Raw genomic sequence first — 12856 nt, forward strand, 5'->3', positions numbered from 1 at the left:
CATCATTTGAGCCATTACTTTTGTTATAAATCAAGGAAAATGGCTAAATAACCATTTTATGTTGCTTGAAATAGGGATAAAGTTAAACTAATATTAAAAATTATCTTCCTCTCTTTTAAAAGTAACTTTATAAATAATTAGAAAACATTCATTTACAGAACGGCTTTTATATGGAAACCTTCCAAGAATAGAACACTAGGCAAAACTAAAAGTACACTTTAAAGTTCCTAATTTTTGTCTGCCTCTGGGACATACAGAAATCTGAGACTGACCTACACCTCTTGTGAATTCAGTGATTCTCAAACTTACCTTGCAATCACAAAGAGTACACAGCTGACTCCCAAGCAGGCTAAGAGCACATACATCCAAATATCTGGAGACAGGGGGTTGAGGAAGGAGAAAACGCCTGGATTGGTACCATTGGGCTTCCGGTAGAGAATGCTGATGCCTAGGGTCATGAAGGGTTTGGAGAAGTCAATGACTTTCTCCCGCACGTAGGTGATGGTAAGAGGAGCCACTGCCAGGTCAGCCCTCTGCAAAAGCAAGTCCAAAATTGTCAGCTTAGTCTAGTTTCTTTGCAAATGTCTAGACTTTTCCTGGGTACTCCTGATTCTTATTCTCAACTCTAAATGCTTCTCATTCATGAAGCTCCTGTGATGGTTGGTTCTAATAAAAAAAAGCCAATTTATACAGTTATGTTTATGAAACAGTATCAGCAAAGAGAAACCAGAAAGTATAAAACACACATATACATACACAAATATATATCCATCATTCTGGAACTAAAGACAAAAATGCAGGAAGATGCCTTTAAAAAGGGCATGTGAGAAAAAGAAGGAATGAGCAACTTGGTTGTACTATTAATTGACATGATGAGATTTTGCTCTGAGCTGAAAACTTTAAAATTCTTTTTTTTTTTTTTTTTTTTTTTTTTGTGAGGCGGAGTCTCACTCTGTCGCCCAGGCTAGAGTGCAGTGGTGCAATCTCGGCTCACTGCAAGATCCACCTCCCAGGTTCATGCCATTCTCCTGCCTCAGCCTACCGAGTAGCTGGGACTACAGGCGCCCACCACCACGCCTGGCTAATTTTTTGTATTTTTAGTAGAGGCGGGGTTTCACTGTGTTAACCAGGATGGTCTCGATCTCCTGACCTTGTGATCCGCCTGCCTCAGACTCCCAAAGTGTAAAATTCTTAATTTAAGAATCACTCAAGTTTATGTTCAGTATGAAAGAAGGATCCATATAATATGGTTTGGTTCTGTGTCCCCACCTAAATCTCACCTTGAATTGTAATAATCCCCATGTGTCAAGGGTGGGACCAGGTGGAAGTAACTGGATCATGGGGTATTGGGATCTGGTGATTATGAGTGAGTCTCATGAGAGCTGATGATTTTATAAGTGTCTAGCATCTCCCCTGCTTTCACGCATTCTCTCACCTGCCACCCTGTGATGAAGTGTCTTCTGCCATGATTGTAAGTTTCCTGAGGCCTCTCCAGCCATGAGGAACTGTGTCAATTAAATCTCTCCTTTATAAATTTCCCAGTCTCAGGAAGTTCTTTATAGCAGTGTAAAAACAAACTAATGCACCATATATTTTTATCATTAATTTTTATCTTTACTTGCCCTTCTAAGTAAGCAAACTCCATTTCCAGGCTGTTTTACTTTGCTTCTTAAAAAAATTGTTACGATTCAAAAAAAGGAAACATTTCTTCTGACATCATTTTTTCCTCTCTTACTTTCTCTTATGCATATTTTCAGATATGTTAGAAATATTGTTACTTACGTGATCTATGAGTTCTTTAACCATCCCGTTCCACTCCCCTTTGTCATTCTGGGCCCCATATTTGCCATCGGGAACTAGTTTAACATCATAAATGAAACCCAGGATGTTTGACAATTCTTTCAACAGGTCTAGGCAATATCCTTCAAATCTGTCATTTCCATATAGAGGCTTATCAGATTTCCTGTACATAACATAGGGTTCTTCCTAAATGAAACAAACCAAATATGAAAACCCTGTTATAATGAAAGGAAGAGTTTACCCTATCAGCAGCTTGAAGATGTGAAATGTTTGATAATGATTTTGAAGAGCTGAGAGTACTGAAGTCATTCACTCATCTGCCTGCCTATGTCCTCTATAAATACAAAACACTTCCTATATTATTGTTTCTTTCCCTTCTGCGTCTTTCGATGGGAGCTTTTCCTTCCGCTGTGGAGGGTGGGGCTGTGCGGGAATGGTGTGATGGATACACAGTCACTGTTAAATGTTGGGTCTGAGAAGAAGGAAGGCGCAAAGGGAAATGGGGGCCCACATGCCTGGCCACCTGCTGTGCCAATACCTAAGCTTTTTTTTGTATGACCCTTCTGGCTTTTTTTTTTTTTTTCTGACGGAATCTCACTCTGTCACCCAGCCTGGAGTGCAGTGGGGAGATCTCAGCTCACTGCAAGCTCCACCTCCCGGGTTCAAGCCTTTCTCCTTTCTCAGCTTCTTGAGCAGCTGGGACTACAGGCGCCTGCCACCACGCCTGACTATTTTTTTGTATTTTTTTTTAGTAGAGACGGGGTTTCACCATGTTGGTCCAGGATGGTCTCGATCTCCTGACCTCGTGATCCACCCTCACACCTCACAAAGTGCTGGGACTACCGGTGTGAGCCACCAAGCCCGGACCTGGCTTTTATCTAAGAACCTCATGACAGAGAAATCTACATCACCAACTATTTCCTTTCATTCTTTGCATTTCCTATCTATGACTATTCTCATTTCTTTATCTAAATTTCATCTGAATTTCACTATTCACTTATGATTTATATATTTTGATTGGTTTCCTTCAGGGTAGCCTATTCCAAAGGCCATTTCTATTTCTTCTTTTATCATCTTTCCCATTTTCTTTTTTGAAATCACCTCAAATCTCACATCTGGTCATTCTCTGCTTATATACGTGCATCATCAGTCCCCTCTCCTATAAATAATGGACACTTCCCTACTACCATGCATCTATAACCTTGTTAATTCTCATTTGACTAAATGAATCCTCATTTGGTTTTATAAAATATAATAGTTGCTATACTACAGACATATTCTTTATATTTAGGTTTATCCTCAAACTGATAATGGGGTCATTCAAACACAGTAGAGAACCCTGTGTTTTCATAAGACAGTCATAGAGAAAGTAGTAACCAGAAGAGCAAACCAGTTTTTCCTTTGGATGAACAATTCTCACAAGTTAATAATATCAACAATAAATTGATTTGACATTATGGACTGGTGTAAGGCAGGATGTCTGCAAGCAAGGATTTCAGGGAAGGCTACTCCTGCCCAACTCCCTGGAGAAAGGAAAAAGCGGAAAATAAGCAACCGGTAGCTGTACAGTGGCTGGATGGGGCATGACCAGGGCACTAATAGGAGGCAGGACTTTCAAGAACAGTTAGTAAAGGAGCTGTGTACAGAAGTGTGAGCAGAGCAAAGGGAGCCAAGGGAGGTGGGGGTCTGATTTGGTGGCAAGTCATAGACACACAGGCAACAGCCTCTTCAGGAAACCTGCACCACCCAGGGCTGAGGCAGGAGGGAGGAAAGAATACTCCTGAAGCTCAGTGCAGCTGGACCCTAAAAACAGTGCCACTGATGGGCAGAAGCTATGGTTGTAGAAAGTCAGAGGTTCTGAAAAAACTACTAGTAGCAGTTGGGAGGGAACAGAAGAGCTTCTCTTGCCTCTCTTCCCCCACCTCTTCCCCCACTTCCCTAGTCTCTTGCTAGGGTCTCCACATGGTTGAAACCAACTAGCAGCCAGAGAGCAAGGGAGACCAGCTGGGAGGGGACAGAGAGTGGGGCTGAGCAGGACTGGCAATGGATTAGAGGTGGGAGATCTTCAGAACAACGTTGGAAGCGTCTAATTCAATCTTCCTGTAAGTATGTACAAACACAGGCTTTTAGTGTCCTAGTTAAAAATAGACATTTGCAGACAGAAGCGTTGGCATGAAAAAGACAGTTGAGGAATGCTTCGAAGTCTAAGGCAGGAGCCTGGATAAGACACCCTCAATTCCATGAAGTCAACTTACCAGAATGGTGGTGACAATGAGTGTTCTGTTGGCCAATGAATCAGTGATATTGCTGGACTTGTCTTTGTTGCTGTCCGTCATGTTAAGCCCACTGTTGGAATTCCAAATCCCAATCTACACAGAACACAGTACATCAGAGGCTGCTGGCTGTCAGTGTGGCATTTACACCAAAGAGAGGCCCCTTCTCTACCAGGAATGGGCACAAAAGCTCACAGTTTGGGACACTGGGGCATCACAGTGGAAGCTACTAAACGTGGGGAAATGAAACAACAGAGGAATGAATGTGTAGACAAAATAGGATATATCTGTGCTATTGGGGGCAGGGTAGGTGGAGGTCTTTTTCTTTTTCATTTAGTAAACTCATTTTCTTTTATAAATGAAAAAATATATAAGAATTCTTAAATGAATATCAGATTTTTCTTCCTATATATATATTTGCTGAGCATCTATTTATGTGCCAGGCACTGCTCTAGGCATCTGAGGACATAACAATGAATAAAATATACAAGAGTTTCTTCCCTTGTGGAGCTTACATTCTACTGATAGAAACCTTAGGCTGCCAAAGTAGTATCACTAGTTTATTTAAAATTTATGAATAATGGGGTGAAGGGGCAGGGTGAATGGTGGAGAGACCCAGCATCTAAAAGGGAAAGATAGTGGGGTGCCGAGACTCATGCCTGTAATCCCAGTGCTTTGGAAGGCCAAGGTGGGAGGATCTCTTGAGACCAGGTGTTCAAGGCCAGCCTGGGCAACAGAGTGAGACCCGATCTATACAAAAAATTAAAAAAAATTAGCCAGGCATGATGGTGCACGCCTGCAGTCTCAGCTACTCAGGAGGTTGAGATGGGAGGATGGCTTGGGTTCAGGAAGTCAAGATTGCAGTGAGCCGTGATTGCACCACTGCACTTCAGCCTGGGTGACAGAGCGAGACACTGAAAAAATAAAGTAATTTTTTCTTTAAAAAGAGAAAGATAAATGAAAGAAAACATGTCATGTGCATGAGAAGTAGACTAAATTCAGGGCCTATCTTCTTTGAGGAGCCAAAGCTGGGCAAAGAGTGCTTGTGAGCCCTAGCAGGACTCTGTTCATATCTCTGTCACAGCAGCTAGCGTCTTCTGTTATTATTTATCTGTTTACCTGTCTTGTCTGTCCACTTGATCGTGAACTCCTTCAGTGAGGATGCTCACTTTTACTGGTCACTGATTTTACTGTCACAAAACCAACCATGGCAACTGGCATTCAGTAAAGCCCATTACTCTTTTTAAAAATAATGATCCACAATTTTCTCCAGTGGCCAAGTCACTCCTGGGTTGTGAGGTGGTGTAGAAGTGTATTGATTCATTCAGCCTCTGTGGGAACCCAGAAGAGGAGCCTTGGGGATTTTGAGCTATTTTGTAAATGCCTATCTTTCTGTAGGCATTTACTGCCAGCCTCACATGGTGGCTTGCAAGTATGTTTTAGAGCCAGGAAGACCTTGTTGCTGTGTGTCCTTGAATGAGATTCTAAACTTTCTGAGCTTCAGTTGATTCTTTACCTATAAAGTATTTCACAGGAATAATGAGAAGATCAAATAATCAGATGATGTATGTGGAAGTGTTGGTGCATGTTGTTAAGACCTGCACACATAGTAACAAGAAAGGACATTGAAATGGCTGCCTCAGTCATTTCTTCAACCTTACCCTGTCATGAAGGAATCTGGACTCATTTTTTTAAAAATTCAGATTCTGATAAGGTAAAAGAGCTATGACAAGTGGCAGTTTAGGAACATGAACACTTGGACCCGCTCTGAGATGGACAGGGTGGAGCTATGCTTGGTCCCTAAATATGTTCCTCTAATGGGAAGACAGACAGGAGTGTTAGGCTCCATCCTCCTTTGCTTTTCTATTTCTTGACTCTGATTTATTGCCTATATTTAGCAGCTGGAAATTCATTTAGCTTGACAAATATCCCTTTTAGAGACATCAATGCTTTGAAAAAGTTTCAAGGACTATTACACGTTCACACATCAGTGTGAACTATTTTAATTTCAGTTTTATTTCCTATACTTAATGAGGGTTAGTTGACTGGAGAAATAAAGAGACAGGTATAGGTAAATGGGGGAATGGGATAGTTTTTGCATTTGAAAATATTGTGGTCCTGCCTGAAAAGAAGTGTCTATTGGGTTGTAAGCTGTACTCTTAATAACCATCCAACGTTTCCAGGATCTAGTGTGATAAATATCACCTAGAATGCACATTATACGTCTAATGGTTGAAGAATCTTTAGGTTTCTTAATCTGGCTTTAGACTCAGGAAAAGTGGACAGCATTTTCTTCTTTTTCTTCTCAATCTCCATCCCTTCTTCTGAGGCAGGGACCCTTGCTTCTAGGAAATGTAACTCTGGCTAAATATACCTGTCTATTGATTTTCATCCAAGGCTGTGCTTTAGGTTGTGAACAATTGACTCCTAGCTCCATGAAGAGTGTGTGTAAATTGGGCCCTGACTGTACTTCTAATTAAACCTTCACTTAGACACTGAGGAGAAGGGAATCTAATTTTTAATTAAGTAAGTATTGAAGGGTGGAGAAAATAACTGTTTTTAGCCACTTGATTAAGTGATAGGATGTGGTCTCTTTAAATCTTATTTCTATTAATGTCAAGTATGTGAGTGTTGGAGGAACTACCGTAATATTTGAAACTGACAGTGTTCAATAGCCTAGCAATATCACTCTCTTGTAAAATAAAACTTGAACTTGTAGACAAATACACCCCACAGCTTGATGTCTGGTTTTTCTTTCCTTTGCTATCTGCACTAAAAGTGCAGAAGCTAAGAGATCATTGCTGCTGCCAATCCAATCAACTAAGTCCCAAGTCCTATTCAGTTTAAACTTTCCTTCTTAAAATGAGAAAAGGGTGACCATTTTTTCCCCTATTGTCTCTACAGAGGGACCTACAGAAGGTCCTTTAAATGTAGACTAGAAGAGTATCAAAATATAGTAAAGGTCAGGCTATTCCTGGGAAATGTACAGTATATATATGCTGAGTGACCTCAGTCTTCTGTTTCCAAACCTGTAATCAGCAAAACAGAACTGTGTATGTGTGTGTGTGTGTGTGTGTATGTGCACGCATGTGTGTACCTGTGTCTTTTAAACCCAAGTAGTCATGTGGCTTTATCTGTTACTTGAAGTAAATGAATATGTTCTCAGGAAATGAATGTCTCCCTTTAAAGAAGTCAGATCTCATGATTCATGTGTGCTGGAGACAGAGGTACAGTTAAGAAGATGCCTGGACATTTGACATTTCAGTACTGTTCTACGAACTAGGAGGAGTGCCTCCAGGGAGCGGAACCTCAGTTTTCAAGCTTCACAGTGAAAGCAGACAGTAGTCATTTACCAGTGAGAAGTAGTGGAGGGTGGATCAGTTACTTGTGGGGAGGAGCACTCAATATCTAAATTACCTGGCCCTGATTTCTTTCACTTTGTAAGCTGGCACAAGGGAGCAGCCATGTGTTATCTAGGACAACTGAGAAAAGCATTTGAAAATGAGTGCCCAAATGACATTAAGCAAACTTTTTTTAAAAAGCGATGCAATAAAAAGGGTATTCAGAGAGCCACTAGTATCTATCTTCTAAACCTAGACAGTGATTCATGTAAACTCAACATCTAAAGTGGCTGAGGGAAATAATCAGGTATCTAGGGCAAAGATAAAGGTATATGTGTTTCCTGTATTACGAACCTTATATAACAAATATTTTAGTGAGGGATGTTGTAAAGATTGCTACCTTCCTCTTTTGGAAAGAATTTTGGGTGAATAATACTATTCTAAAATAAGTCAGAGTACGAGGAAAGCTTTTGGGATTTCAATATGATGAAGGTGAATTTTTGTTTAAGTTGGAGACTTCTGGAAAAAGTGCAATGTGTTTGTTGGGTCTGAGTGGGTCGCCTGTGCTAGAACTCAGGTTACCGTGAATTTTTGACGGAGTTATAACACAAAACAGCACACCACAGTATATACAACTTACAATGTGGAACATGATGGGCTACCAGGAGGGAAGAGGCATGAAGGCATGGAGGATCAAGATCAGAAAGTTACAACCCTCGGGAGTGTGTGTGGCTCTTGCAGTTTAGTGACAAATAGAGGACATCCCCCCTCCCCTTTATATAATTTCAAAGCTTGGATTCCATTCCCTGGGACATTTGTATTAGATTAATTCAAAGTGCCCAGAGTCTCAAGATGGATTAGTGTAATAGGTTTTTTTTTTTTTTTTTCTTTTTCTGGGTGCCGGTTAGGTTCATCTATTTACCAGTAAAATTTTAGTGAGGAAACCAGATCGCCTTCTACATGCACTTAGTAGCCTTGTTCACTGAAGATTAAAACAAGGCTTTTAAACCTATGCTTTGAAAACTTAAAAAGAAAAAATTTTTGAATTCATCACTGAGTACTACTAAGAGGGGGACAAGGTTTTTGGCTACAGGGAGAAACTTGTGTACACTTTCTGTGACATAGCTGATAATTTGAAAGATGAAAGTGAACCTGACAAAACTGTTCAAGTTGAACAACCTGAAGCAATTTAAGGTCCATTCATCAGTCCATAGATTTTTTTTACCAAGTAGTTTTAGAGAGAGAGAGACAGAGAGGGAAGGAAGGAGAGGAGGAAGAGAAAGAGAGAGAAGAGATGAAAGAAAATGTTTGCTTACCACGGGGACATTTCTCTGATCCAAATGTTTTTAATGTCTCATATTTGCTTACATAAATCTATGCACATTCATTGGCAACATGGCACTGTATAATAAACTATAAAATAGTGGGTGTTATAATTCACAAGATAATCTCATTTCCTTTCCAAGGTCCCTAACGTTTGTGTCCTCTTTAGAACTGTGGCTCTAAAACAAATTGCAAGACAGTATACTCTGATGAAGATATCACACAAAACAAAAGATAGCTCATGAGAAAAGGAAATTTCTGAAAATGGTTCATATTTTGTGGTGGTGACATTACAGGAGGTGTCCTAGCCTTCTGAGGCTGTAGCCTATCTGACTAGTCTCATGGATCAAATCTATTGTGATTTTTATCCCCCTTAAGGAAAATATTTAGTGATTTGAGAAGGAATATAAATAGGTCAGTGTCTCCTTCTGTTACAGTTGCCTGCTTTCAATCCTAACAAGGACTGATCCTGCCTGGGAGAAACAAAAATAATCTTGGGGGAAATATTTAATCCATAATTATTTAATCCACTGCAAACCTGTTTTCAATTCACAGGTGATGTTGTTGAGAGAGATAACATATTCAATCACTCCTCTCTCTTTACATGGAACTTCCCTTCTAAACTGCAATTGGAGAGCTACAGGTCTGGTAACATTGGAAGGGCACAGGCCTTTCCAATGACATTCCCCATCCCACCCCCAGGTTTCCTGCAGTTGTTGTCAGAGTACAAACCTTCTTCCACACTTTATACAAGTGTTTAGACACTTCGCCAGCAGCCTTGGTTTTCAGAGAGAAAAATAAAATAAAAACAGCACTTAATTAAAATGGAGCGTGAAACCCAGAAGGAATCATGGTGTGTGAGTGCTTAGAGTGTTACAGTTCCCACCCATTGTTTGGAATTTGCATCTTAATTCAATATAAAGCCTGACAATAGGTACAGCAAAGAGACGAATCAAGACTTGGGTCTCACAGAAGTTACCTGGTGGTAAGACTCAATTTTTACTTTTCCTTTCACACACCAAGAAATGCCTTAAAGTGCTTTTCAATGTATACAGGTATGCTGCAGTATTAAGGGTCTTCATTGTTCCTTAAGAAGACCCTTTTAAGGCATTGGTAACTAAAATCAATCAATTAACCAACCAACCAGCAAATCAATCAATACACACACACACACACAAACACACACACACACAGACACACACATATAAAGAAGAAGTATGCTTGATGACTTGTTCTTTGATTATGGGTTTCTGGGCAGTAGAAATTTGAGTGAAAGTGAGAATGGGATTTTTCTAATAATTTTCCCTATTGACTCCAAGAGAGGCTGACATAAAAAGATTGGGCATTTCCTCCCTCGGCTCCTGAGAGAGATGTGTTGGCTTCCCTCATTGCCTTAAGGCCCAATCAGCCTTCTCAGGAATTGAGCCCAAGACACCTGAAGAAAGAAAAGTTATTGCAAACAATGAAGAGATAAGAAACCAACACAAAACACTTTCATCTAATTTGATTTTGCCTTTGATGGAAAAACACCAATGCAATGTGCATAATATTACGGTGTATAGATAGCTGTGAAAGCATAACAATAGCTCCATCTATTTCATCATTCACCTAGCCAAAAAGATGTTTCCTTAACAGCTTTTCTTCCCCCTTCAGTGCTATACATAAGAGGAGAACAGAGTTGGGGAAAGACTCATGCTTCGAGAAGCAGACATTTTCTTAAAAAAATTATAGGCTTTTAGATCATAACAAGTATTTTTTTTCTTTTGTTCCCTCCAGCCAACATCCCATGCACCATCGTGGAGACTGGCTGGATGCCCTGTGCTCTATCAGGGCATGTCAGACCAACAGAGGGGCAAATCAGAGTGAAGAGGAAGCCAGAAGATGGGAGAGACATTTTTGAAGTGAGTAACCTGCATGTATAATGTGTACTCTCAAAACTGCAAACAAATTATTTTCCTCAAATATTTCACACTGGTGGTCACCTTCTAATACATTCAGCCTAAATGATCTTTGTTTCCATTAATGTTTTTTTGAGGGGGAGGGGTAGTTAGCACCTGCAAAAAAAATGTGTCCTGGTTAACAAAAGCAAGAAAACGGAAATGAAAACCTTACCTCATTTTAAAAAATCAACCCAACTAATCTAATTAATCAAGCAATCGATTGTTCCCAAAGCCACTCTTACATTAAGCACACTGTCTTATTCACTATAGTGGGAAAAAAAATGTCAGATTATAGAGTTTTCTGTTGAGGTGATTGCTTTGGGGGTTTCAATTGTTTTTCTATAAGATTGTCAGTGCAAAATCTTCAAACTGTAAGTGTTAATTCTGACGTATAGTCATGAATATTAAAATTGGCATAGTAAAATATATTGAGGAGCCAAATTCTTTTATCATTATTATTTAACCAAATAGTTTACATTGGAATTACTCTAAATAATAACTAAAGTAGAACTTTAAACATGGAGAGATTCAGAATTACAACTAAAATAATCCTAAAATGAGAACCCAACATTAAAATACAGTTTTTTGGCATTTGTCCTAAAATTAAGAATGCAAAGTTAATTTGCTCCAGTAAGTCTCTTCTATCCTACTTTATTCTGTCTGTCACCAATCTCAAAATGGAATAAAATGTGCAATTAAAATTAATTTCTGGGTAACCCTTGGATGCCATTCCATCGATAAACCATTGATAGCTTCTGCTTTTCCAAGTCTAAACTCAATTTGTTAAAAGCTTTAAGACATGGGCCTAATGACACCCAACTCTAGGGTTATATATGTAATAATATAATCACACTTGCTATGTAAATGAAGCACAATAGAAACACTAGTTAGTACTGCTATTACTAAGACATGAAATTTAAGAATCTAGCACATCAACTTCTATCTGCAGAAAAAAGAAAGAGAGATAAAAAACTGGATGTAAAAGAACATGCTTAGAGAATCACTTCATCATTCACCTACTTGTCTTTGCAATTTAGTAAAAATGCCTGAACAATGTTCATTTGTTATTTTATTTATTTATTGTTAAGGAGGTTACCTTTTCAGTTCCTTCCTCTTTGAGACTAATAATGTCCAGATCAAAATCCTTCCTCAAGCCATTGGTTTTATTAAAGGTGATATGCCCAGTCAAGCCATCCCACCGGGCCTGTGGACAAGAAGAAATGTGGCTGTTATTGTTAAACATTTATCATAATTCCTGAGACCATCAAAATTATAATACCTCAAATTCATCACAGTATCCAATTATTTGTTTTCATCATGCTGTTATAAACCATTGCATTGGTTCAGCGACAAGATAGCAGAACACATCGTCTTTTTATTAGCACTCATTTATTCTGTCAATTCTAACATCCTAACCCAGTCAAACCTGTCATCGTGGCTACCTAAATGGACAGTATGGAAAGAATTGCCGTAAAACAGTCTGCACACGGAATACACAAAATCTGAGAAATCACAATATTCTGTTTTCCAAGGTCAATCCAAATTCCCTTTGAGATATGGCTGAGTGGAAGTGAGTCCCTGCTTTTTCTTTCTCTGTGAAAAGAATATAGACTAATATAGTCCAATGATGTATTGCAGTTTTTAGGCTGTTTATGACTTAGCGTGTTTGCACCATTTGGGCATTATAATTTCCCGTGGCTGCTGTAGCAAGTAATCACAAACGTGGGTGCTCAAAACAACAGAAATTTATTTTCTCAAGGTTATGGAGGCCTGAAATCCAAAATCAGTGTTAACTGGGTGGAATTAATGTGTCAGCGGGACCGTGCTCTCTCTGGAGGCTCGAGGGAAGACCCTATTCTTTGCCTCCTTCTGCTTCTGGTGGCTTCTGGCATTTCTCCTTCTCTTGTGGTTGCATCACTCCAATCTCTGCCTCAGTGGTCACATTTCCTCCTCCCCTGCTGTCTGCATAAAAGCTCCCTCTGCAAGGTGGAGGTTGTGGTGAGCCGAGATCCTTCCACTGCGCTCCAGGAGCCTGGGCAACAGAGCAAGACTCTGTCACAAACAAACAAACAAACAAACAAAAAGGGTCGGGCGCAGTGGCTTGCGCCTGTAATCCCAGCACTTCGGGATGCCGAGGTGGGCGGAGATCGAGACCATCCTGGCTAACACGGTGAAACCC

The 12856-nt window shown here is 39.8% G+C and overlaps 1 protein-coding gene and 1 long non-coding RNA gene across 14 annotated transcripts in view; one reads left to right on the plus strand and one right to left on the minus strand.

Moving 5' to 3' along the window:
* GRIK1 (glutamate ionotropic receptor kainate type subunit 1) overlaps positions 1–12856 on the minus strand; it is a 403064-nt gene that overhangs the window by 50124 nt on the left and 340084 nt on the right. For 6 of the 13 annotated variants that reach the window (NM_001320616.2, NM_001330994.2, NM_001393426.1 and 3 more), the window contains 5 exons: positions 11774–11881; positions 9470–9514; positions 4056–4169; positions 1783–1986; positions 310–533 (listed from right to left, as the gene is read on the minus strand). In NM_001320616.2, the coding sequence (NP_001307545.1) occupies positions 310–533; positions 1783–1986; positions 4056–4169; positions 9470–9514; positions 11774–11881 (695 nt within the window). Of the gene's footprint in view, positions 1–309; positions 534–1782; positions 1987–4055; positions 4170–9469; positions 9515–11737; positions 11882–12856 lie in introns of those variants that run through there. The other 7 variants (NM_001320621.2, NM_175611.3, NM_001330993.2 and 4 more) reach the window with 3 other exon arrangements.
* Positions 8984–12856, plus strand: part of GRIK1-AS2 (GRIK1 antisense RNA 2) — a 34708-nt gene continuing 30835 nt past the window's right edge. The window contains exons 1-2 of the long non-coding RNA NR_033368.1: positions 8984–9722; positions 10514–10638. This is a non-coding gene — a long non-coding RNA (GRIK1 antisense RNA 2). The remainder of the gene's footprint in view (positions 9723–10513; positions 10639–12856) is intronic.

The sequence above is a fragment of the Homo sapiens genome, chromosome 21 (genome assembly GCF_000001405.40).
Source record: "Homo sapiens chromosome 21, GRCh38.p14 Primary Assembly".
Lineage (NCBI taxonomy): Eukaryota > Metazoa > Chordata > Mammalia > Primates > Hominidae > Homo > Homo sapiens.